Here is a 26,282-nt window from a genome sequence, read left to right on the forward strand (position 1 = left end):
GGAAATAAAATGACTTCTCAGGGTCATACAGGTTACCAAGGAAGAGACCACAAGGAAGAAACAGGTTACCAAGTCTGGGCCACAAATTGCTGAACTCAGAATGCACAGCAGTTCTGCAAAATGCACTGCTTCTCCTTGTGGCTGGACCTTACAATTATTTATAGGGAAAATGATTTCTCTCTTATACACTTTCCATGTTTATAGAAGGAGGCTGTGGGGCCGGGGAGTGGGGCTCAGGGTTCAGGGATCACTGGCTAATAATGTCAGTTGGAAAGGGAACTCTGGAAAGTGTTTGATATGTCAAACAGGTGTAAAAATGCTCTTAAGCCACCAATGAGGTGTGAGTTAGGGCAGAAAGAAGATAGTAGAGTATGAGAGGGGAGGAGGGGCGTCCTGAGTTCTCAGCCCATGCTAGACTACAGGGAGTTTGAGTCTTAGACTCCTGCTTCACCATTGACTCCATTCCCTACCTCATGCCCACCCAGCAACTACATGGCAGAAGATACAGGGAAGAGAGCCCCGGACTCACAGGCAGAATGGGCCAGGTTCAGATCTCAGCTTCACTGCCACCAGCTGTGTGATCTTCAGCAGGTCTGAATCCCTGGCCCCTGCTCCCATCCCTCTCTTTATTTCTGTTTCCTCATCTGCTGAAACATCTAAGTTTCAGGTTTATGGGGCAGGTCAGAGAGCAAGTCTACAAAATGCTTATCACATGGCCTGGCCAAGAAAGCCCCTAATAAATGGCATTTGTCACCACTGTTGGTGGGAACCTCACAATACCTGACTCTCCTGCACTGCGCTGTGAGGAACAGCCCAGCGTGCTCCTCCTGGGGTTCTCCCCAACCCTGGAGTGAGGCTTGCAGAGCGGGCTTGCAAAGCAGCCACACCCATTTGCTCTGCTGGCTTAAGCAGGAGCCAGAGTCTGCTCTCCAGGGGCTCAGGATGGTGTCTGAAACAGAACACATGGAGTCCGCCAGGTGTGGCAGTAACTACATTGACAAAACTCTCAGCACTACAAAGTGGATAAATTAGAGGGCAGAGAAAATGCATTCATGCTAGGAAAGCATTCGCCATACACTTCCTTTAACTGGGAGCCTCTCTAGAGAACTTAAAGTCAAATTTCCACCTCCCAAAATTCTATTTCCCCGTAGATATCTAGGAACTTGCCTAGTGTGAAGTGGATAACTGTGGAGACGCTGTCATCTTTCCCTTCATCCCATTTTCTCCCTTTCCTATGGGAATTTTTGATTTAATCCGGGCATTGTGGACAGCAGAGAGAGGATGCAAGTGCTGGTTGGCCATATGTGCTTGGACAAAGCTGCCTGCTGTCTCGGGCTGTTCAATTCACTGCTGCTGTGGCCTTGGGCCAGTGAGCACCCTGTCATTCTAAGTTACCCTCAACTGGAACCCAGACTCTGCAGAGGTGTGGTGGGCAGTGAAGGAAGAAGAGCAAGCTTCGTGATGACCATGCAGACACATGCCATGACAGTCACTTCTTGTTTAGTGCCTCCTGACCCCTACACTTCAGGCAGTCAGAGGTCAGAGATCCATCATGCCCACCTCCCAGCTTACTGTCTCTATACTCAGCTGAGCAGAAGAACTCAGGGCCAGTGTACCCAGGGCTGGGCTTCCTGCCTTCCCTGCTTCTCTGGCCACCATGCTGCAGGGTTGATGCCTCAGGCCTTTCCAGTGCATGGGCAGAGAAAGGGTTGAAGGCAGCAGATCTGGATTCAAGTCCAGCTATGTGACCTTTGCCTGGTTCCTTAACCCTTCCAATGCTCATTTCTCATCTGTAAGAGGGAGGTGGTCATATCTCCATACCAACTTGCACAAGGGTTGAATGAGGAGAAGAATATAAGCGCAAAATGCACTGAAGGCACCCCATGCATGACACTTCTCGTCCTCCCCTCCAGGGAAGGCCAATGGTAACCCAGAAATCACTGGACCATAGCATTCAAATGACCATTGAGTCCCTGCTTCTGGTGTACAGAACAAAGGAGAAGGCCACATAGAGCTTCTTTCTTCCAAGACTGCAGAATGGGGATTAGACCTCTCAGGGGAGTGTGGTGCAAGTCACAATAGCTCTCTTCTCCCGATAACTGTGGCCATGTGGCCTCGTCTGCTGCCCAGTGTGACCTCAGCCTCAAAGCCCCACTCCTACCTTAGAAAGGTTGGGTTGAGGATCCCCCACTCCACATTCTGGGATTGGGCACCACGTTCCCCTCATGGCTGGGGCAGCTCTGCTTCCATGGCCCAGGTTCTTCTAAATCCAATTCTGGGTGTCTACTTTCCAAATCCTCCCAGACTGGGGTTCAGTTTTGACTTGCCCTGGCCATTCTTGTGCCCATGGTATGGAGGCTGCAATCCATTGACAGCACTGTCACTCCCCTTTTCCACCCTGCTCTACCCAAGGCTGCGTGGGTGGCCACTGGATTTCACAATACTTCTTTGGCCAGTGGAAGATCTGAGCTATAGCAATATTTAAAAGATCTTAAGAAGTCACAAAATGTGTATGTGCCCCGCAATGACAAGACTTTTTTTAGATGCAGAAGGCTCTAACTCTAATAAATTATTATCCAAATACAGGAAATAATCACTGTTAACATTAGTAGATCTCTTGCAGTGATGTTTTGGGAGCCCCATAGACTATCATCGAAGTCAGGGGGTTCTTGAACTCGGTTAGGTGGTTGAGTACCTGAAAGTTTGTGTCCTCTTTACAGAAGCAAAAATACTGTTATTTAATTCAATTGAGAGGTCTAAAAATACAAATGTAGGTCACCCTATTTTTATGTTTTGAGCACTGTACTAAGTGCTTTATATGGAGTAGTTCACTTAATCCTCACAAAAACCTTGCGGAAGTATTACAGGTTAAGTCTCCCTTATCCAAAATGCTTGGGACCAGACGTATTTTGAATTTTGAACTTTTTTTTTGGGATTTTTGAATACATATTTGCATATAGATAATGAGATATCTTGGGGATAAGCCACAAGTCTAAGCACAAAATTTATATGTGTTTTAATATACCTTATACACATAGCCTGAAGATAATTTTATACAGTATTTTTAATAGTTTTGTGCATAAAACAAAGTTTGTGTACACTGAGCCATCAGAAAGCAAGGGTGTCACCATCTCAGCCACCCATGTGGACAACCTGTGGTTGCTTTGTGCCACCATTATTCCTGACTCTGAATTTTGATGCTACCTAAAGCAACCATTTTCTTATACTGATTCATGCATAAGTACTTAAGAGTAAAAAATAGGACAGACCATTAATACGGTGGGAAAAATCATGTATTCGGGGTAACCGAGCAGCACAGTAGCATCACCAGAATACCTGTATCTGCTATTAAGCAAGAGCAATAGCAAACAATGGCAGGCTGATTACCTGCCACTGTGTGCCTGCATTTTGTTGTGTGCCTGCATTTTGACTGTGACTCGTCACATGAGGTCAGGCACAGAATTTTCCACTTGCACTGTCATCTTGGTGCTCAAAAAGTTTTGGATTTTTTTTTTTTGAGACAGAGTCTCGCTCTGTTGCCCAGACTGGAGTGCAGTGGCACAATCTCTCTGCTCACTGCAAACTCAGTCTCCTGGGTTCAAGAGATTCTCATGTCTCAGCCTCCTGAGTAGCTGGGATTACAGTCATGTGCCAACATGCCTGGCTAATTTTTGTATTTTTAGTAGAGACAGGGTTTCACCATGTTGGCCAGGCTGGTCTCAAACTCCTGGCTTCAAGCGATCCTCCCACCTTGGCCTCCCAAACTGCTGTGATTACAGGCATGACCCACTGTGCCTAGCCTCAATTTTGGAACATTTTGAATATTGGATTTTCAGATTAGGGATGCTCAACCTGTGTGATCACTCACTAAGGTCTGAATGCTGGTGTCCTCCCAAAATTCTTATGTTGGAAGAATTGACTCTCCAATGTGAGGGTAGTAAGAGCTGGGTGTGAGCTTTGGGAAAGTGAATAAGCCATGAGGGTTACATTCTCATGAACAGAAATAGTGCTCTTATAAAAGAAGTTGAAGGGAACTGCTTCACCCTTTCTGCCATGTGAAGACACAGCAATAGGCACTATCAATGCAGCACAGAGGGAGCCTTTCCAGACACCTGATCTGCTGCTGCCTTGATCCTGGGCTTCCCAGCCTTCGGGACTGTGAGCAATACATTTCTACTGTTAATAAATTACCCAATCTATGGTATTTGTTAGAGCAGCCCAAAAGAATTAAGACACTATTATTTGTTGCCATTTCATAAATGAGCAAATTGAGGCTCAGGGAGGTTAGATCACTTGCCCAGTGTCATTCAGCAAGTTGGGAAGCAGTGAATCAAACCCAGAAAGTCAAATCAGTTTCGCTGCTTTTATTCCACAGTTCCTGCCCTCCCCTGCCTACCCCTGAGAATCAGAAGCAATGTCATCAGTTAGATATGACTATGTTATGCATAAGCCATATCAAATTACAGCCGTTAACACATGGGTTGACTCACACACAAACAACAGCTCAAATCTAGGCAAGAGGTATCAGCTGTTTGATAATATTTGTCCGCTAATTTTGCTAATTGTGTGCTCATTTGTCATCCTCTAGTGAGTGACAGCAGGCAAACAGTAGGAGGCACCAAAGGTTTAAGAAAAACATATGGGAGAAAAGCTTAACTGGGAGGCTTTTCTGTCTTAGCTTTTTGGTTTTTTTCCCCCTGCCAACTGGAAAAAAACCACAATTATTGCATTTCTGAGACAGAACTACCTGCTCTGGTTCATGGAAACCCATGTTATTTCAGAGATGCCACCCTGCTGCCCATTGGCGACCTTTCGAAGGTGCTCTCCTGGTGTTCTAACTCAATGTGCTGGACAGTTGTGCCTCTTCCCACCAGCATAGTGTCCTGGTACGGCAGGGACTCTGCAGCGTGGGGGGCAGGGGCACTTCAGGGGTGGGTGGTAAAAGCTGACCAGAACTGTGCAGCTCTGTTGTGGTTCCCACCCTTTGTGGAGAATCACTGCTCTAAGGTGACCCATGCCTCCTCCCATATCCTCTACACCTATGCTCTTTATGATATGACCCACTCTTTGGTTGGACTAGGGTCAACAGCTGGCCCAAGTGCAGCCAAACCATAGACTGGGCAGGAAGCAAGGGCTCTGAGCTTCACCTCAAAAGATGAACTGTGCCTGTCAGACCCCTCTCTTGGAAATGTAGTGTCAGGGCTCCGGAGGGGTGGAGCTTCTGCACTTCAGGGGTACATGGGGGTGAGCTGGGCAATGGCCACAATGAACCAGAGTTCTCGAGGTGCAGGAGCCATGTGGGAGTCCAGGGAGTCAGCGGGTGCCAGCAGGAAAATGGAGCAGATCCACAGATGGAGGAGGGGATGTCAGGGGAGAGATGAGACTCTGAGGGACTAACCAGGCAAAATAGAAGTTTGCAGCAAGTAATAGTAGTAGAAGCCTGAAAGTCTGTTAGGTAACCGAGGCTGCAAACATCAGCCTTTCCTGCTCCTGGCCCGTTTCTGGGAGGTCTGCATGTAGGGAGGCGCTCGTTCTTGGATTCTCATGAAATTTTCCTTCTTCTTTCTTGGCATCTTTATCATGACCCACCCACTCGCATGCTTTTACTCAAACCAGATAGCACTGCCTTAACCAGGGTGCACAAGAACGCTATTTGAGTTGCTGGGGCCTAAACTGCCTCAGTAAGTGAATCTCTGCCTCCCCTCAGACCCCCCATTGGATGGTCAGAATCTGCAGGAGACTGGCTCAGCTCACCATTCCACTGTTTTGTTCCCTCATTAGCTCTGTTCCCCAGTTAGCTCGCCAGCCCCTTTGCCTTGCCCTGCCCTCCCAGCCACTGCCCCCGACCGAGCTGTTTACATGGCTTTCTACATTAGGTTAGTGCTCACTCCCAAGTTCCCAACCTCCTACTTGACTGTGTCTCCCACTGTGATCCTTTCCTTAGCTCCTGCGGAGCCTGGGCTCATTTACATTTCACTCACCAACCTCATTTAGGTAATTTTCTACAGTTAATTCAACGTTCACCAAGTAGCCCTGGATTGCATTTGCATTCATCACCTTCTGGGGCTCTGAAGCATTTCAGAGTATACAGGCTTCCCTGCTGAGATCCCCACTTACGCAAACGCAACAACAAATCTCGTGGGCTCTGAGCAGAAGATCCCGCTGCAGGGTCAGCCCAGTATTCTCTTCTGACAGCAGCCTCAGGAGGACAGGAAGTGCCCTTTGTCCTGCCAGTCTTGTCCAAGGAGGAGGTGCCCTGACTCTGGCCTTCCTGTCTCCTATTAATTCATTGTGAATCCATCTCTAGGTTTACTGCCTGCCGTGCAAAGCATTTCCTTCACCTTAGCCAAAATAGCCTAAGCTTCAGGGGGTGCCATCTAGTGCCTGTATTATTACAAAGCTTGGGAAGTAGAAAATATACGATAAAAGGCTTCACAATATCAGAATTGAAAAGGTGTGGTTGCTTGTGAACACAGTCACAGAGAGCCCTTGGCTCATAACAAGCTACTTCTTGGTCTCCACTTTGCTAACTGGTGGTGGGCGTCATGGCTATAAGACTCTCAAACCAGCACAGCAGGCCTCACTGTCGATGGGTGCTGTACAGGACAAACTTTTTGCTTTAGTCTTCTACAATTGTTCAGGTTAGTAAAAGAAAACTTGTGATAATAGAAGTTTGCAGCAAGTAATAGTAATAGAAGTCTGAAAGTCTGTTAGGTAACCGAGGCTGCAAACATCAGTAATTCGTCTTTATCCGCAAAGCAGGGAAAACGGGACTCTATCACTTACGGGTTTCCCCTGCCTTTGTTGTATTTCAGGAATTACTGGAAAGAAATTGTCTGACCTGGCTCCTTTTGTGTTTCATTTGGGCCTCAAAGGCCGTATATTTGTAAGAAGAATGTCACTGTCTATGTCAAGCTTTCTGGACAGAATTCTAGAAATTCACCTGTAGCTTGTTCTTATTCCATACTGTGCCACCCTTTCACAACCCTGGTTCAGTTTGTTTTAAGATTTTCTATCCAGGATCTCAGTGGCTGAGATGTTAGTCCCCATCGTGCTTCAGGTAGTAGAATAAGGGCTGGAGACCAGAGCCTGGGCCCACCATCCCACCATCGCTGTCTGTGAATATGCCTCATGCTGTGAGCAACACAATAAAGTTTGCTTCAAACAAAAGTATCATTTCCCTGTAGGAAGCCAGGTAAAAGTGCTGAGAAGTACCACTATAACAGTTCCTTCTCTCTCTACCCTGAGGGATGAAGCTCCTGCACTGCAGGGGTGTGTCGAAGTGAGCTTGGCAGTGGCCCCAGTGGGCCAGAGTTCTGGGGGTACAGGAGCCATGTGTGAGTCCAGGGAGTCAGCTGGTGCCAGCAGGAAAATGGAGCAGACCCACAGGTGGTGGAGGGGATGCCAGGGGAGAGCCGGGGCCCAGATTTTACAACTCCCTTGTTTCTTTGGCTGCCTAGTGCAGATTTATTTATTTGTTTGTTTGTTTGTTTGTTTATTTATTTATTTTAGACGGAGTCTCTCTCTGCCGCCCAGGCTGGAGTGCAGTGGCACGATCTCGGCTCACTGCAAGCTCCGCCTCCCAGGTTCATGCCATTCTCCTGCCTCAGCCTCTCTAGCAGCTGGGACTGATGCAGTTTTACTTTGCATCTCTTCCTATGTAGCAGGATGAGCCGCAGAAAAGAACCCCTCAGAAACCGAGTTGTGGAAGGAAAGGGCTTTATTCAGCTGGGAGCACCGGCGGACTCACGTCTCCAAAAACCGAGCTCCCCGAGCGAGCAATTCCTGTCCCTTTTAAGGGCTTACAGCTCTAAGGGGGTCCGTGTGAGAGGGTCGTGATCGATTGAGCAACCAGCGGGTACGTGACTGCGGGCTGCACGCACCGGTAATCAGAACAGAGCAGAACAGGCCAGGGATTTTCACGATGCTTTTCCATACAATGTCTGGAATCTATAGATAACACAAGCAGTTAAGTCAGGGGTTGATTTTTAACTACCAGGCCTGAAATGCAGCGCCGGGCTGTCTGACTACTGATTTCACTTCTGTCTTTTCTTTAACTCCTACTTTTTCTTTGAGGCAGAAATTGGTCATAAGACAATATGAGGGGTGGTCTCCTCCCTTACCTCTAGCTTGATGCAAAGGAGGGCTGGTATCCCTGCTTTAGCAAAGCACAGCGCTTCTCCACCCCTTAAGCTCTCTTAGGCAGCTGACAGCAGCTTATCAAACACTTGTTCTGTGTGTTGTCAACTGGGAGTGTTCTCAGGTTCCTCTAAGCCACCAGCTAGCCTGAAGGTGCAGTCTGGGAAAAGGACTGCTTTGCTGAATCCCTCTTTATGAGCTAGAAGGGCCTTCTGAACATGGGCCAGGCTCCATCAGTTTCAGAGCGGGAGGTGGTGGAGTGTATCTACTCAAAACTGCATGGGGAATGAGCGCTGTTCGGCCGTTCTCAACATTTCCTTTAAGAAAGTAATGTTGGCGCTGATTCCAGTAGACCTTTAAAAAGGCTCTTTATTCAAGTCTTAGAACTGATTAGATGAGAGCCATGCTGGGTCTGTCGGGCTCAATTTATATCCTCTCTACTTCTGGGCTCAATTTATATCCTCTCTGCTTCCCAAGAGGGAGCTGAGCCAGGCCAGGTAGGTTCCCCAGAATAGGCAGGGTCAATTCCAACGCCACCTTCCCAGGGTGATCTGGAATGGGTTCTTTCTCCCTCTCTCTCCCTTCACCAGGTGCTCCTGCAGAGGAACCTGGTGTCTTCCCCACCCCAGGCTGCAGGAGCTCTCTGTTCAATGCAGTATCCACTGGCCACATGTGGCTTTGAGCTCCTGAAACATGGCTGGTCTAAACTGAGATATGCTATAAGTGTACAGTACACATCAGATTTTGAAGACAGTATGACAAAAGGTGAAATATGTCATGAATATTGTTTATATTGATTGCATGTGGAAATGATAATACTTTGGATATATGAGGCTAAATAAAATATAGTATAAAAGCCAGGCATGGTGGCTCATGCCTGTAATCCCAGCACTTGGGGAGGCTGAGGCTGGCGGGTCACTTGAGGTCACCTGAAGTTGGGAGTTCGAGACCACCCTGACCAACATGGAGAAACCCTGTCTGTGCTAAAAATACAAAATTAGCCGAGCATGGTGGCACATGCCTGTAATCTCACCTATTTGGGAAGCTGAGGCAGGAGAATTGCTTGAATCCAGGAGGCGGAGGTTGCAGTGAGCCAAGATCATACCATTGCACTCCAGCCTGGGCAACAAAAGCGAAACTTTGTTTCAAAAAAAAAAAAAAAAAAAAAAAAAAAAATATATATATATATATATATAGTATGATAAATTAATTTCCCCTGTTTTATTTTTAAAATATGGTCACTGGAAACTTTAAAAGTGCCTTTGTGGCTTGCATTAAATTTCTATTGGGCAATGCTGTCCTAGAAGCATTTTAGACTGCAGAGGTTTAGAGATTTACAGCTGAGACTCTGGGTGAAGAGCAGGAATGAGAAAGATCAAGAAGGCAAAGATTCTGCCACTTCTCTGCTCAAAACTTTCTAAATTTTGATTCCTTCTGATTCCTTCCTCAAGACCTCTGAGGTCTCTAAGGCCCTGGAGGCCTTGCACAGGCTGGTCCATGTCCTCCCACCCTCGTATGTCTCCTGGAGCTCCAGTCAACCTGACCTTGCTTTTCAGCATAGCCAGCCATGCCCATCACAGGGCCTTTGCACATGCTGTTACTTCTGCCTAAAACACTCTCCCCTGGACAGTTGCATGCTTAGAAAGTCACCTCCTCAAAGAAGCCATCCCTGATTCACTTCCTCAATCCCAGTCAGAACCAATCACTATCCCTTCACCCTGCTTTGTTTTTCTTTAAAATTCTTATTACTCCCTGACATTGAATTGCATGTTTACTTTCTGTTTCCTCCAGACAGGGAGCCTCTGTCTCTTTTATTCACCGCAGTGCCTGGCACATACTGGATACTCAGAGAATGCTTGTTCAATGAACACAAACATCAATGCTGCAAGGCCAATGAGATTCAGCCATTTTTCAAATGAATAAGCTCAGGCTTGGAAAGAGGTGAGTACGGGACAGAGCAGGAATTGATTTCAGCGACTGCACCGAGCTGTGAGGGACAGTGGCTGGGTGACCTGGGAAGTCACCTCTTCTAGGACCTCATGCACTGGGAATGTGCCCTAATCCAGGGGATGAGGACCAACTTAGCAGGGAAGAAAATAAAACCAAGAGAAAAAGGCCACTCTGACTTGCTCTGGACATTTCCTGTGGGAAACAGATGTCAGGATTAAAAGGAAAGAGCAGGTGTGAGGTCTCACTCGTTCATACTCCGGCATCACAGAATCCTTTGAGGAGGCACGTGGGGCCAACCTAGACAGGCTATCAATAATCAAGGTCCTTCCAGATGCACGAAACAGGCCTTAGAGCCTCAGAGCTGCAGGAGATTTTCATGCCTGCCCCTTGGGCACATCCCAAGATCAGGAGCTCACTCCTTCCAAGGCAGCCGAGCTGTTAGTTTTTCTGTTCACTTTAATCAACAGAACGTATTTGATTCTTTCGGGTCAGCAGCGACTTTCTTGTAGTTGATGTTTTTCAGACACTTGTTCTAGTTTTGGACTTCTGGGGGCACATTGAACAGACTAATTCCTGCTCCCTAGATCAGCCCTTCTGAGACAGAAGGTCACGGTGGCTGAGAAGCTGAACTTCCCAGGAAGCACATTCTCGGCAGGCCTGCCCTGTGATCTCACCTGCAAGGGGACAATTTGGAAATCAAGTATTATGGCTTAGCAATTCGGGGGCTGATTCTCTGAGGCCACAGCCTTCTCCTTGCTCACCCAGAGTAATGCCAGTTCGAAACGGCCAGCCCGACTTCTCTTCTGACTTCCAAACTCAAACTTGCATTTTCTTGTTACTTTAGCAACATTGATTCAAGCACTTGTGTGTGCCAGGTATGATGCCACACCTTGAGGATAGAATAATGAAGAAGATATAGCCCCTGGTCTCGGGGAGTTCATAGTCTTTGTGGAAAGGCTGACAAGTCCACAAGGTATTAAAACCCAGCAGGATCCAGGCTGGAATGAAGGCAACTCTCAAGGGCACAGGCCGTGGGCACCGAGGAGGACCTGACACACCCCGTGGGATGCAAGGAGGACACCCTGGAGGAGGCAAGGCCAATGCTGCCAATTTCCCATTGCCTACCGGGGAGTTCAGTCTGTAAGTCCCACAGATGCTTCTAGTGAAACCCATTTGTCATCTTAATCAAGAAAGTTCAAAATCATCATCTCATGCTTTCTTTCCACCTTAGCCTATCTCCAACACACTTGCATACACCCACATGGGTGCCCATACATGCAAACAGAGTCACTTCTATCTCCTTGCCTAATCTTTCTCAAACCTGTCCCTCCCCCTCAAGCTTTCCAGCTCCTATCAATTCTCACAGACCTGTAGTGCCATACTCCCCACTGCTCCATCCCTCTGCCACCCCATTCTCCACTGTGCTGGAAAGGTCCTCATACATACTGACATGCAAATGACCATGGATCCCTATTTCCAGCAGGCAAGACTCCCCAGAAGCTGGCTGTCTAGGGCCCTGGGCAGCCTGTCCAGCACCATCCCTGTGAGCCCTGCCTGCAAGCCTCAAGCGCCAGCCATGCTGGCATGCTTGCCCTGCCCCAAACAATCATGTCACACTCGTTCCCACCTCTGTGCTCCTTTACACACACTGCCCCCTACATCTGGAACACCCTGCCCTTTCTTTTCAGCCCCCAAACCTCCTAGTCATCCTTTAAACCCACTCAAATGTCACCTTTTCTGTATAACCTCCCTCGGACAGTCAGTTGCTCTTACTGAGAAAAGAATGCTGTGCCATCATAGCCATTATCATCAGCCCACTAGCCAAGGGGCTTCTCCCCACCTCCAGGCTGGGACTCTCAGAGAGCAAAGACAGTGTGTAATTCATCTGTGAGCCCCAGAACATAGCAGAGAACTTAGTAATAACATTAATAAACAATGCTATTATTTATTAATGATGAATACAACCAGCAATAGCAATGAATAAAAATACTGATGAATAATAAGGAATAGCAATGAAAATACCTGGCATCATCATGATGATATTACCATCCATGGTGCCAAGCCCCTTGCTAAGGACTCTATAAGAAAGATCTCATTTAATCTCTCGGTATCCTCTAAAATCCTGCTCCCACATTGTGGATGAGGAAACTACAGCTCAGAGGGTATAAATCCCTCTCCTGGGGTCATACTTTTTGTAAACAGCAGAGACGAGATTTGAAGCCATGTCCATCTGATCTCCAAGCTTGTGCTGTGCGCTTTAGCCACTGTGCTTCTCTGGGACACAAAAAGGGATACTGAATTAATTACCACAGGTGCTAGAGAGCCAGTTCCTCAGAACACCTTATCTGCTGCAATTCCTGTGACCTTTCAGTATCAACTCAAAGTTATCAATTAAGCTCTGTCTCTAGGGAGGTGAGACAGGGCTCTCATTCCATGAGATCTGGCTCTGCCAATCTCAGGCTGTGTGATACTGGGCAGGTGACTTACCTCTCTGGGCCTCAGGCTCCTCATCTATAAAATGGGGACATGCAAGTCCCTAACCCAGAAGGTCAGTGTGGGGATCGAACAGGAGATAGCACATGAAGAGCACAGGTTGAGTTTGTGGGGTGCGGGGGCGTTTGGTAGGACAGTCAGTGGTTTACCAAACCAAAGTGCAAGCTGAAAGTTTCGGACCCCAGGGATCAGTGAAAGAGCTTAAAGAGCCCAGTCTCAGGGATCAGTGCCCACAAAGGTCTGGAATTCTGGATGTCAGGATAAAGAGAGTTGACAGGGAGACTGAGATTCACCCTCACCCTACACGGGGATGTTTTCCTCTGACCCCTTTTAGCTTCCTTTTTTGGACTGCACGTGGTCTCAGAACGGGGCCTCCACAGCCCAGGCGAGGTGGTCTGTGGACATGGCTCCTGTAAGTGCCCACCAGACAGAGTGTGAGGCAGCCAAGCTGAGGTCGGCACTGGAAGAGCCCAAGAGAAAGCTTGGGAGGTCCATGGTGGCCACTGAAGTCCAGAAGACAAGACAGACTTAGGCAGGCCAGAAGGGAAACTACTCCTCTGTGAGGGGCTGGGAGGACAGAGGAGGAGCCCAGGTGTCCTGTGGAGAACTGAATTTCAGAAGAATTTCTTGGGGGCTCTGGAGCGCCCCGCAGAACCACCTCAAGGCAAGAGCAGGAACCAAGAGGCCTCTGAGTTCTTGCTGTATGACTTGGAAAAATGTTCCGCCCCTCCCTGGGCCTCGTTTCCTCCACTGTATGATGAGGGAGTGAACTCTGAGATCACGTCTATATCGATCACCATCATTCCATGTGACCTGAAGAGACAAGCATGAACACATCGCTCTAAGCCTCAGTTTCCTCATGTGTACAGCAAGACTAGAAATGGCTGTCTGTTAAGGCTGCTGTGCGTACAGTGCCTGGGAGGTAGCACACAGTAGGTACTCAATTAATTCCCACCCTCCACCTCCACCAAGCCCAAGCGGAGAGAGTTAGAGTCCTCCTGTCTGTCTCTCTCCCTTCCTCAGTGACTCTGGGAGGCTGGGGTTTTCACCCACTATGCCAGCCTAGCAACTGGCAACTGGGCCATCCCTGCTGGGAAATGCCTCTTTTTGGAGATGAAGTCTCACTCTGTCACCCAGGCTGGAGTGTAGTGGTGCAATCTTGGCTCACTGCAAACTCCGCCTCCTGTGTTCAAGTGATTCTCCTGCCTCAGCCTCCCAATTAGCTGGGATTACACTCACGTGCCACCACACCCAGCTAATTTTTGTATTTTTGATAGAGATGGGGTTTCGCCATGTTGGTCAGGCTGGTCCCAAACTGACCTCACGTGATCTGCCCACCTCGGCCTCCCAAAGTGCTGGGATTACAGGTGTGAGCCAGCATGCCCGGCTGAAAATGCCTCTTTTGAATCAGAGCTCTTTTTTTTTTTTCCCCATCAGAATGTAATGTATACTCATTAACAGAGAAACTGGAGCATATTGGAGAAAAGAAGAAAAATAAATCACTTGTGACTCTACTAACATTTCATAGCATGCCTTCCTTTTTCTATGCAGAGTACTCCTTAAGTGGGTAAGGTCATTTTCAATATTCAATGTCATTTCCTGGTTTCTTCTACTTAAGGCTATCACAAACTTTCCTATGTTGGTATAAACATATTTTTAATGGCTGTCCTGAGATTTCCCTAGCCAGCCCTATCCACATTGCCAGGTATTCATGAAGTTTCCAAATGTCCAGTCTTCTAAAAGCAAAGAGCCACGGATATTTAATTCATTGAGAGTTTTGTTTGTTTGTTTGTTTTCCCCCACTGCTTTTAGAAAATTTTTTTTTCTCTTAGCACAAACTGCCAGAAGTAGGCTTCTGGTACAAAGCAGATGATGACTTTTAGGGCTGGCAATTTCTGTCCTTTGTGGGCAACATTGCCATTAACTTACTGATGACTTGGGGTTTCCAGAGTCCTGGATAAAGAAGAAAGGAGTTTCCTAGGGAACAAGCCTAAATCTCCTGGGAAGAATCAGTGAGAGCCTTTAAGTTTATTTCCTCCTTTTCTGGCCTGGTTTGAATAGAGCCCCAGGGCAGGAGGGTTTTTCTGAGCTACCTGAACTTTAAATACCTGCCTGGGGCTTCCTTTACTGAATCTTATATTTTCCTCCCTGTGTTATGCCAAGGTCTGGGAGTTTGGAGGGATGCCCTAAACGGGACAAAAAGGGGTTACTGGGGATCAGGGAGTAGGAAGCTGGGCCAGCACCAGAGCCCCTGATTTCTTCAGCTGGGGGCTCCCTCCTTATCCACCTTCAAGTTCACTGCCCCCTACCACACCCAATGTCCCTGATATTCCCTCCCACCAACGCTAGAGGCTGTTTCCACCATGGCTAGACTCTGGTGACAGTCCATTTAGCTGGTGAGGGCTCTGAACCCTTACCAGCTCCTACTAGCTCCCTTCTTCTGGAAAAGGTGTCATGTTCCCTATATTCCCAGTAATAATATCTGAGATTTATAAAGCACTTGTCCTTAATACTCTGATAAACTTCCCTTGTATCATCTCCAGTCATCCTCACAACTTCCTCCAGATGAGCTCTATTTGTCAAGGGAGAAATGGAAGACTTAGAGATGGAGAGTTATTTGCCCAAGGCAAACAATTAGCATAGGGTGGAAGTGGGATTTGATCCAGGAGGGCTACTGTGTATGCAGTGCCTGGGAAGTGCCCAGCCTAGGAGCTGGCCATCAGTAGGTGCTCAATTAATTCTCACCCTCTACCCACCTCCACCAAGCCTGAGAGGGGACAGCTAGAGGCCTCCTGCATGGCTGTCTCCCTGCCTCAGTGACTCTGGGAGGCTGGGGTCTTTACCCACTATGCCAGGTGGCAACCTGATCATTGGACCATCCCTGCTGGAAAGTGCCTCTGTGCTCAGACTCTGGCCTCTGCTCTCTCCCCATTGACCGGGGTCAATAACCATGCAGTACAGACTGTGCTTATTATAACTTCTGTGGGCACTGCCCGGGGCCAGCCCTCCCACCCAGGCAGTTCCTGCTGGCCTAGGTCCTCCTTTGAAGGCTTACTTTTCATGGTCCCTGCCAGCCCATTGTTGGGGCCTCACCCCTTCTTACTGCCCAGACATGGGATGGGACAGAAATTTCTGTTGTTCTCCATAGCTGTTGTCACAAGATAGTAAAACTATAAGCTTCCTTAAATATCACAAGGACATCTCCCGTTTGCCTCATATTCAATATAGAGTCATGCCATGATTATCTCATTAATCCCCCCAATTGCCCTGTGCAGTAGAGAAAACGAATCAGAGAGGTCAAGTAACATTCTCAAGGCAGTACTGCCCATTGGAAATTGAATCAGAACTAGAAACAATATCTCTTGGCTCTAGGCCTGGTGATTTTTCTTTTATTCAATCTCTTGTTTTTTAGAAGAGAGCTGAAGTTCAGAGAAGGGAAGAGGCTATCTAAGGTCACAAAGCATGTCAGCTGAGAAAGCCTGGAACTAGACTCCTCTAATTCCCTGGATCCCCTGCATAAAAAGCAAACAGAGCGTGAATGAATCAAGAAAATGCACACTACAGAGTGCAGGCTCTTCCAAATCCTGGAGACAAACTGGCTGTACTGGATTTCTACAGTGGAGTCAATTCCACAGAGCTGGTGTGACCCACTGTGGACTCCAGGGCTGGGATGAAGTACCACAGGATGGTGAGCAGGCAGCTGGAACCAGACCGCTGTGGCAACAAGGTGTCCATTCACTGTTGCCCACGGCAGAGCAGGGGTGTGGCCAGCAATGCTTTCCTCTGAATCTGGCTCATGGGACACATGATTTCTGTCCCTGCTGCAGTAGCTCCCTTTAGACACAAGTTGTAAATAGGGCATTTGGGAAAGGTGGTGCTGCTGGTTACTGTTGAGGAGACCAGGGTTCTTATTTGCCCAGAGGAAGGCCAGGGTATCGGTCATCTCATCAAGGTGACTCCTGAGAATTTGGATGTGAATAATGGCAGGGATAAAAGAAAGAAAAGGAGGAGAAAAGGGCCTACCCTGCGTACTCATGCATCCTCTCCTTTAATTTCTCACCTTGACCTAGGAGAGCAATACGCTACTCTAGGTAAGCCATTGTCCAAGGTCATGTGGTCAGCAAACAACCCTAACTAGGCAGCGTGCCCAACTCCGAGGATCATAAGGTTTCTATTCCACTTCCTGTCCCCACCTAACCAGTAAGTTGGCCCTTGGGCTTATCATGAGTGAGGACTTCAGACTGGTTCACTCCATGATTTCTATGGTAATCTTTAACATATTCTGGGTTCCCTGTAGAAGCTGGTTGGCCAGACTGTGCCATCCAGCTGCAACAGCAGTTTCCAGAGGGATCACCCTGAAGCATCTCTATCATCTAGTGCTGCTCTTCACTGAGCAAGGCCTAATCTCAGGATTGAGGACCCCACAGTGGGCCTAAAGGCAGAGCATGGATAAATTGCACTGTGGTTTCAGATATGAGTGATACATAACCCCCTCCCTCCCTCCTTCACTCCACATCCATCCCTTCCTTCCTTCCTTCTTTCCTTCCTTCCTTCCTTCCTTACACATTAAATTGAACACAACAATGCACTGTAGTAGGTACAGTGCTGGAGATAAAACAGTTGACAAAAATATAGTTCCTGGCTTCCCAGAGCTTGGATCCTAGCAGGGGACATAGTTATCTCTCACATAATCACAATACACAAATCTTTGCAAATTGAGACAAGACTGTTAAGCAAAACACAGAGTATTTTAAAGAACACAATGGGGGATCTGATCTAGTCTTGGGGTGTCAAGAGAAGCTTGGTGTTTGACCTGAGACTCAAAGGATGGTGGTGATGCACTGTAGGGCATATGACCGCCCCGTGGCCTGCTCCCTAGAAAACAGAAAGAAAGCCAGGGCAGCTGTAGCCCAGACGGAGTGGGCCTGAGGCCAAGCACAGCCTCCAGGGCCAGGCTGAGGTGTTTAGATTCCATTCTAAGTGCGGTGAAGAACTATCTAAGTGCTCAGGCAGCGACTGGCAGTGTCAGATGAGCAGCAGGAAAAGATCTTCCTGGATGTTGTGCAGAGTGGAGAATGAGGGGCCAAGAGCTGATGCAGCATGACCAGTTAGGAGTCTAAGTGCAGGAGCCTAGGTGAGCTCAACTGTGGTGGAAACTCATGAGGGGCCAGACGAGCCTCCAGCCCTGCCAGGGAGTCCTAGTGAGTGGTTCAGGGATGAGCAGGAAGGACACTTGCAGCCCACACAGACAGGAGAGTCTTTCAGATCATCCCTCTCCCAGACGCCCTCAGAAGAAAAGCTTCAGATCTGCCCCATCCCAGTGGGATCCTGCAGGATGAACCCAGAGTGGTGGCAAAAAGGGTGCAGGCACTGCAAGGGAGGCAGCCGTACTGCACTACCAGGGGCTTCCCCAGGGCTGAAAAGGAACCCCACCTTATCCATAGCAGCATCCTGGAGCCCAGGTGGCTCATCCCAAGTGGGACCCCAAGAGAAAGGCCAATAGAGACATCATCTGCTCTCAGTCCCAGACTTAGAGATGCAGCTATATCCAATGGAAGTAGATAGAGGGAGCTGGGGGTCTCTGGCTCAGCATCTTCTCCACTGGGGGCAAAGAAACTGGGACAGCAGCAGTGGTCCAGAGAGAGGCCAGCCCACAGAGCAGTGGCTATTTCTATCTATGTTGGCTCAGAGTGGAGCAATGAAAGAATAAAGGAATGAAAAGGAGGTCAAAGGGAGTTTGGGAGGGGATCCCCTGTGCTTCTGCCTGGGACATAAGAGAGAGGTTTGCTCATGGCTGGAGTCTGAAATCAGAAAGCACTTGCACCAGGACAGGGCAGGATGCTGCTGTGAGCCTGCAGCTTCCACTTTAAGCCAGAGAAAGGCTGTTTGGCTGCTGTTACTACCACCCCGGGGCAACTCAGGCTAGGAAGGCAGGTGTTGTTGGGGAGATATATAACACAACATTCCCACAGAGCGTTTTCAGGGCTAGAATATACGTGTACCGGGAACAAATAAACGAGGTATCTGGACAAGACTGGCAGGAAGCTAGGTGCTTTGAGTAGGCTGCAGGAAGAGACAACAGCTGGACCAAGTTTCCAAGGACAGATGAGAGGTCGCCAGTTGGGGAAGAAGGGAGAAGGCAGAAAAGGTACCAAAGTTGCGAGGAGTAACTTAAGCAATGCCTGAAAGCCCCTGGAGAGCTGGGGAATCCAAGTGTCACAGTCACAGCTTGATAGGTGGGTTCCTGCAGCAGCAGCATCACTATTCACCTCCTTCTCATGCTGAAGAGGGGAACTCAACCCCTCCTAGGCCCAAGTAGGGATGTGCCCTCTATCCTAGAATGTCTTAGAACCTGTGGAAGTCACCTAATGATGGAGGCCTTATTTCACAGATGAAGAAATTGAGACCCAGAGAAGTGCAGGGTCTAACTCAAGTTCACACAACAGCCAATGGAAGAGCCAAGGCCAGAACTCAGACCCTCTGCCTTCCACCTCCTTTTCTCCTTTACAGAAGCTGCCCTTTTTCTGGTTGGGTGACATGAGAGTGTGCGGGAGGCAGGAATTGGACAGGGCACACGAAGTCACTGATTAATGAGTGGTGAGTCATCTCTCAGTGATAATCACTATGGAAACGAGTGGCAGAGACAAATTGGGGCCCTGAAGTCAGGGGTCTAGTTTTTTCATTCCTGACTTCACATTTTGCTAGAGGAAGATGGTGTGTGTTGCTAAGACATGGTTTAAGTTGAACAGCAAGGGCTGTACTTAGCTTCATCAGCCGAGCAATGAAGGCCAGCTACCATCCCAGTTTTAGAAAATGTGCTCTGTGTCACAGGACTGACCCCAAAGTCCCAAAGAGGAACTTGCCTTTAGGGCTTTCAGACCTATGCTCTCCACAGTAATAGTTGGGTATCACCATTCCAGAAGCATTCGTCCTTCCCAAAGTCTCAGGATGTTAACTTTGCAAAAGATCTTAGAAGGTGTAAGTTCCGACCTTTTATCTTCCAAACAAAATCTCATTTAATCTCATGCAACTATGAGGTAGGTACTATTGTACCTATTCTGTATATGTGAAAGCTAAGGCCCAGAAAAAGGAATGATCTAAGATCACACAATGAGGAAATGATAGAATGGAACTTCTGAATTCTGGACGAGCCTTTTATTCTTTTATTATCCAGTACAGTAAAAATATAAGGTATTAGTCTATCTGTCTTTGCCCCTGCAAGGGGGAAAGAGGAGAAGCGCAGGGAAGAAGGTTGATATTGTAATGGAGAAACCGCAGAATGAGAACCCACTTCCCCATCTGCCCTCATGTCCGCACTTCATCTTTGAAAACTCCCTATACCGCATGTTTCAAGAGAGACACAAAATGGGAGACAACGGAAGAAATGAAGAGAGAATATGATCAGGTGACATTTGCATGGCACTTTATAGTTTGCAGAGTGCTTCCACAGCCCTCCCTCCATTTCATCCTCAAAACAACCTTGCCCAGTAAGAGCAGGTGCAAGTACCTCTGTCCCAATTTACAGTTGAGGCTGCAGACCCTAGAAGGTTAACAGACTTGGATTCAAATTTAAACCTCCTGACACCAAATCCTGCAGTTTTTCCATTTACATTGACTTTCTTTTGCCTGTGCACGAGTGAAAATATAGGAGAAAGAAGCCAACATTCATTGAATGATAATAGTAAAAAAAAAAAAAAAAAAAATGGAGAAAATAACCACAGCTGCTAGCTCTCATTGTGCATCTGCTGTACACACCAGGCCTTGTGCTAAATACATCACATGCACCTGATCTCTTAATCCACACACCACCTTGGTAGGGTGAGTATTGTTATCCCCGTTTTATTGGTGAAGAAGCTGAGATTCAGGGAGTTCTGTGCTTGCAGTTTCTTCTTCTGATTCACCCTCGGAGTGTTTTGTTTCCTTGTAATTCAGTTATTTTTAACTATAAAAATTCTTAGAGGTTTATTTGTGGAAACCACTTGCGTCTGAGGATGAAGGCGGATCCTAGATAGGATTTGTGTCAGCTTTTGACAACCTGAGTTACTCTAAAAGAAATTCTTGTCTTGAGGTTTTCAGATCACTCAGGTGGTATCACAAGTTCTGTCTGAAAACCTGTATAAGGACTTGCTGATGTTTCTGAATTTTCAGCTGCAATTTATTGACCACTTCCACTCAATGCCTACATTTAAGATTGTTTATTTTCCTTGCACTTCCCATGGAGAGATAATATCTGATTCATTTGTATCCTGAGGGTGTGACCCATAGGGTCTGAGCTTTCTGTGGAGAAGAACTCCTATGAGACTACCCAGCCCTGGGCAGCAACAGCAGGAGAAACAGCGCCAGTTTAGCATGAACTTTCATATCCCTATCTCATTAGCCTCAGGAAGGAGCCTTGATCATTAGGAATGCACCAAAGCATCCATGGTGGTTCAGAGAGGAGACTGGTGCTCACAGGGAGAGGCAGACAGATAAAAGTAAGAAGAAGTGGGGAAAGGAGGTGAGGCCAAGGCAGTCGAGTAGGGCTGGATGGAGAGGAGAACCTGTGAGGAGAGGAAGGTGAGTCAGGGGAGCGCCAAGAAAACAGGGTTTCAGGAGCGTGTGATGTGGGCTAGTCTCTGAGCTGTGCTTTCTTTCTGTGCCAAAGTGAAACACTTCTGCCCTGCCTGCTCCTCAGGGTTGCCCTGCCAGAGAGATGTACTGAGAATGAGATGAGCTAATCGTGCTGAAAGTCCATTGCACACTGCAAAGTGCTACCAGACTCAAGGCTGCAGGGGTTGTGGCCTCTGTCCCTCTTGGCCATGATCCGTGCCTCCAGAAGAGTGTGATGGAGGTAGATCTGATGGTAATCTCCACCAATGCGTAAAATGGACTGGCTGGGACACCATCCTTTCTGCTTCCCTCACCCCTGAGTCTCTCCTGAAGCTGAACATTGGTTCCCCAATAGAAAAAGAGCCTTGTCCTGCCAAGGGTTGCTGAGCATCCACTGGAAACTGTGTATCAGCTCTTAAGGGCTGAGCAGATGCCTAATTTAAGTATGATCTCATGTGATTGCTGCTGCCTGCTGTAGGGCAACTCTGTAGAAGACAGAGGCTGATGCCAGGGGCAGCAGCTTGGCTTGAAAGCTCAAGGTGCTGCTTTTCCAATGTGAAGTCTTGATCTCCAGTCACTTAACATCCCGAACCTGTTTTTCCATCTTAGAAAGGGAGTTACAATGTCGATTTCACAGAATTGTCTGCCAGAGGAGTGACATGGGTAACACATTCACAACCTCAAAGCTCAGCACAGGCATAAGGGCTTGCCCATTTTTTTTTTTTTGGTGGTCTCAGGACTTGTGGGCTCACTGATACAGAGCAGCACTAGGGTCATGACCAGGAGGGCTGTTAACTCAGATGGAACAAGGAGGCATAATTGGTTTAGCAGAAAATAAGTTTGGAGCCAGGAAAATGGTACTAGACGACAAATACAAAGGATAAGAGAAATAAAAATGGGAGAATGGGCAGCAATGTTGCTAACCGAGAATGCCCAAATCAGCAGGCTTAGACATGGCAAGCAGATTAAGCGGGCAGTTCAGAGCTAAGATCAAGAATGCCTTCTGAGCCTAGAGCTTCCTGATTTAGGCTGCATATGGCTTCTGTGTCAGGGGACACCATGGTGACCTAAATGAATCCCACAAATCTTCACCAGGTCTGTTTAGGTCTCCCTGAAAGTTTGGCAACAAGAAGCTCCGTGATCTGACTCAGCTCCCCACAAAAATACATCAATCCACTTTCCAACGATTTGCTTGCATCCAGAGCCAGCTTCTGGTCAGAGCAGCAGGCAGTCTCAGAAACAATAAACCAGGCCCTGATAAGTGGAATTCATGCCCCACTGACCACAAGTCTCAAAGTGGACAAGACAAGGAGATTAAAGCATAAAGATCCATAATCAGATTCTGACAGGGAAATCCCATTTGTGGTGCTTAGGAGGCATCCTCCAGCATGCAAGATGAAAGTCAGAGACCATCAGACCTTAGCATACGACATGCCACTGGGCAGGTGGATCATTAACTGTGATTAAGGCACTATGCACCTCCTAGGTGGTGAATTGGAGGAGGGGACCAGATCCTATTACTGGTCACTTTGATCTCCATGTCACAGTCAAGGCGGCCACTGCAGCTCAAGATCCTGCACATAGACCTGCATAAGTATATGAAAACTCTTATTTGGAGATACTCAGAAGGCTGATGATGTTGCCATCTGTCCATCTTTTGAGAATCCTTCTCTTGTCATCTTACCATGGGTGAAAGACGACTGGGACAGGTTGTTGGGTCTGGGGGGCCCGAGGCTGGAGGGAAATCACAGTGCCCTCTGCTGTAGCAAAAGTGCCAACATTTCTTTGAATGCTAAAAAAAGGTGGAAACTGTTTAGCCTGGCCTTGAATCAGACCTCTTCTGAGCAAATAAAGACCTATTAAATGCATGGTCATCAAGACTTAGTCATTGGTTCATTTGTGCATTCACTGATTCATTTAACAATCAGTGAATATCCTCTGTGTGCAGGCACAGTGCTCAATGCTGTGACTTCATATAGAAATGAACGAGACATGTTCACTGCCTTCTAGGACTCATAGGCTAGTGGGGCTCACTGCAGCTGGCAAGAGAGGGAGCAAAGAGAGATGGAGAAGGCTGTCCTATTCAGAGTCTAAACCCAGAGTCAAAATGAAGGGAAGCAACACTAGAAACAGGCAGTTCCATGTGGGTCCATTGGGAAGGTGGGGCCAGGGGACAAGGGTCATGGATAAAGCTGGCATAGATTGGCTTACATATAGGAAAGAGTAGCAGAGACAGGGCCAGGAAACCAGATTTGAACTAAGATTGGGGAGCTCCCAGAAGGATGCAGGAGGATGTTAGTCTGGCAGTTTGGGGTGAAGGGGAGGAGATGGGGCATATATGTCCTCTCCATCCACATCTCTGATCTGCCCTTCCCTGCACCTGCACCCACTGAGATTATTGTTATAAAGTTCTGAGTTCCACTGAGTAATAGAGGAGAACCAAAGTTTTGCAAATCTGATGGAACATGAAATAAGAGAGGACATGAAATCTGATGTGTAGATTGTAAAGCAATTCACAGTTCCGTCTGCCCTGTAGCAGTGTAAACATCACATATTTTTAATCAAGATGGAAAAGTAAAATCAAAGGAAAACTATTAGCACCATCTCATGGGGAGATCTATCTTTGCCACTCCAGACTGTGTCTCCCCTCCCTCTAGGCATGAGTAGTAAGAGTGTTGCCTGTCTGTGGAGACACAGGCAGATTCTCCAGGAAAAGGAGTACAGCTCCATTGGCGTTTCGCTCTAATTACTGCTCTTAGTGGGACCTCTACTTAGGCCTTAAAGATTCCAACATCAACAGTGAACTCAATTATAATAGATTAAATGCTCTAATAAGACTCATGTACAAGGTGCTGTGGGAACATAGAAGAGGAATTGAGGATACAAGGAAGGCACCATAGAAGTAGTCATATTTGAGCTGGGTTTTGAAGGATAAGTAGGAGTTCACAAAACAGAGAAATGGAGAAGGAAAGCTCAGGCAAAGGGACATTCGCATGCAAAAGCCACAAAGAAGGCATGTTCGACTGGGGACTGGATAGCAGTCCAATAACTCAGGATCCATTGAGGATGAAGATGAATGAATTTCCATCCATCCTTCAAAGAGATGAATTCTGAAAATGTCTGGAGGGCCTAAAGCACAAAGATAAGTTGTGTTCAATTTTATTTTCTGGTCAAAGAGGACCATCAAATTGCAGCTATTTTTCTTTCTTTGTTTGGATGGGGTTGTTCTAAGTTACATATTATGTATTTTTACCAGTGTTAAATATTTTCAGTTTCTTATTGCTTTAAACATGAATTAAGATTATAACTAATATTTACTGGATATTCTAGGTATTTTAGATGATTTATCTCTCCTTGATCTTAAGTGCTAACTAAGCACTATATTATTTCTATTTTGCAGAATAGGATGTGAAGGGTGAAAGATATTGGCAGCCCCTTGACTGAATCTTGAAGCCTGTAAGTGGCAGAATCAGGATTTGAATCTAGGTCCATCCAATTTCCACTGTACTGTGCTAGGTGGGTGCTAAGGGCTGGACTCTGATGGGGCAGAAGGGAACACTCCTGCGTGGGAGGAAGAACAGAGGTGGCTGATAATCTATAAGCTGAATTTGACCTCTGCTGTCTCCAGCCTGCTTTACCTCATTCTGCAAAGACAAATCATCTGGAGAAACAGATTCAATGCTCTGAGCCTCACTCGGCACCACAGAGCTCCAGAGAGACTGGCTGGAGTGTGGGGATCCAGGCTCCCGCAGGAGCCTCATTTTGTCAGTGAAGCCTTTAGAGATGGCATGTGGCCTGGCCCTTTGCAGAACTGGCCAGAGATCACACAATCACGGGCTCAGAGAGTTGAAAGGGACCTTAAGGTCACCTAATCCTCCAGATGGAAGGCTTCTGCCCTGGGATGCCCACTCCCGCCAGGATCACAGGCTTACACCTCAAACGCCACCTGGCCTCTGACTGCATGGTGCCATGGCCTCAAACACTAAGTCTGCACTACACAGAGAAGGCGTGAGGACTGGCCCTGGCTTTAGAAAACCTGGAATCCAAGAGCTGCCCTGGCTTCCCCGCTTAGTAGCTGTGGACTTCGGCAAATGACTTTTCCTCTTGGATCCTCAGTTTGAGCATCTGTAAGGAAGATTGTCAATGCCTACCTTACACTGTGATTGGGAGGATTAGACAAAGCAAGAGAAGGGAGACAGTGGACACTGCATGAAGATAAAAGCACCAAGATAAAGGAGGATGAAGAAGAAGGCAATGACTTATAGCAGAAGTTGTCACACTTCTTTTGTGAAGGGCCAGAGAGTAGATCTTTTAGGTATGCAGGCCAAAGGGTCTTCGTTGCAACTACTCAATTTTTTCACTGGACCATGAAAGCAGCCACAGATGATTTGTAAAGAAATGAGTGGGACTGTGTTCTGGCATGTCTTTATAAATGGACATCTACATTTGAGTTTCATATAATGTTCACGTGGCACAAAACCTTCTTCTTTTGATTTTTTTTTTCAACTATTTAAAAATGTAAAGACCAGTGGGCCATGCAAAAACAAGTGGTGGGTCAAAGTTTCACTAACTTGACTTGTGGGTGAGTTTTCTTCAGCGTAATAGGAATCCTTTGTGGACACAAAGTGATTGTGCCATGTCTTTTGGGAAAATCTCTCCCATGGCAGGGCACGAGCGAGAACTGGTCACTTCTCTGAGGACCCTGCTCAGTGCAGATGTCACACTGCCCCCTAGCTGTTCGCTGGCCATAGACTAGCAGCTTATCCAGGCCAGACCATGGCTTTTCCAACTCAAATCTGCATAGCCTGGCACCACACTGGACACAGAAGATACTCAATAGATTCTTCCACAATAAATGACTGTGCTTTTGTAAATTTATAAGTTTTATTTTTAGAAAAATTAAAGGTACCGCATACCTTTTCTATGCTGCTTTGGATGTCTATGATTTCTTATTTTATTCCAAGGAATCAAAAGAATTGATGAGGATTATTTAAAAATACACATTAGGTCCATTTTTACAAACCATGCGTCATGTCCTCCCTCAAATTCCATAGGCCTGCTTGCCAGACTAATTGGACAGATAAGCAAAGTTACTGGCATATATGAACCTC

At 47.2% G+C, this 26,282-nt stretch overlaps 1 protein-coding gene and 2 long non-coding RNA genes across 3 annotated transcripts in view, besides 3 other annotated features; all 3 read right to left on the reverse strand.

The window, feature by feature from the left end:
- Positions 1 to 26,282, reverse strand: part of ASIC2 (acid sensing ion channel subunit 2) — a 1,143,682-nt gene that overhangs the window by 910,341 nt on the left and 207,059 nt on the right. The gene's annotated exons all lie outside the window — the stretch shown is intronic.
- Positions 5,585 to 6,086: an enhancer, noted in NCBI's record as "NANOG-H3K27ac hESC enhancer chr17:32256031-32256532 (GRCh37/hg19 assembly coordinates)". NCBI's record gives its function as "activates a minimal SCP1, AML or CMV promoter by ChIP-STARR-seq in primed H9 embryonic stem cells {active_cell/tissue: H9 hESC(primed)}" and the evidence as "EXISTENCE:reporter gene assay evidence [ECO:0000049][PMID:30033119]".
- LOC124903983 (uncharacterized) lies at positions 7,703 to 9,219 on the reverse strand. Its single transcript, XR_007065719.1, has 2 exons — positions 9,173 to 9,219; positions 7,703 to 7,950 (listed from the first exon to the last, which is right to left on the reverse strand). It is a non-coding gene; the product is annotated as an uncharacterized LOC124903983 (long non-coding RNA).
- Positions 7,783 to 8,077: an enhancer, noted in NCBI's record as "tiled region #12358; K562 Activating DNase matched - State 5:Enh". NCBI's record gives its function as "activates a minimal TATA promoter and a strong SV40 promoter by Sharpr-MPRA in K562 cells {active_cell/tissue: K562}" and the evidence as "EXISTENCE:reporter gene assay evidence [ECO:0000049][PMID:27701403]".
- The window catches only part of LOC107985038 (uncharacterized), a 51,924-nt gene continuing 37,656 nt past the window's right edge, over positions 12,015 to 26,282 (reverse strand). Inside the window, exon 2 of the long non-coding RNA XR_001752840.2 lies at positions 12,015 to 13,395. This is a non-coding gene — a long non-coding RNA (uncharacterized LOC107985038). The remainder of the gene's footprint in view (positions 13,396 to 26,282) is intronic.
- Positions 19,043 to 19,337: an enhancer, noted in NCBI's record as "tiled region #12081; K562 Activating DNase matched - State 5:Enh". NCBI's record gives its function as "activates a minimal TATA promoter and a strong SV40 promoter by Sharpr-MPRA in K562 cells {active_cell/tissue: K562}" and the evidence as "EXISTENCE:reporter gene assay evidence [ECO:0000049][PMID:27701403]".

The sequence above is a fragment of the Homo sapiens genome, chromosome 17, assembly GCF_000001405.40.
Source record: "Homo sapiens chromosome 17, GRCh38.p14 Primary Assembly".
Taxonomy (NCBI): domain Eukaryota; kingdom Metazoa; phylum Chordata; class Mammalia; order Primates; family Hominidae; genus Homo; species Homo sapiens.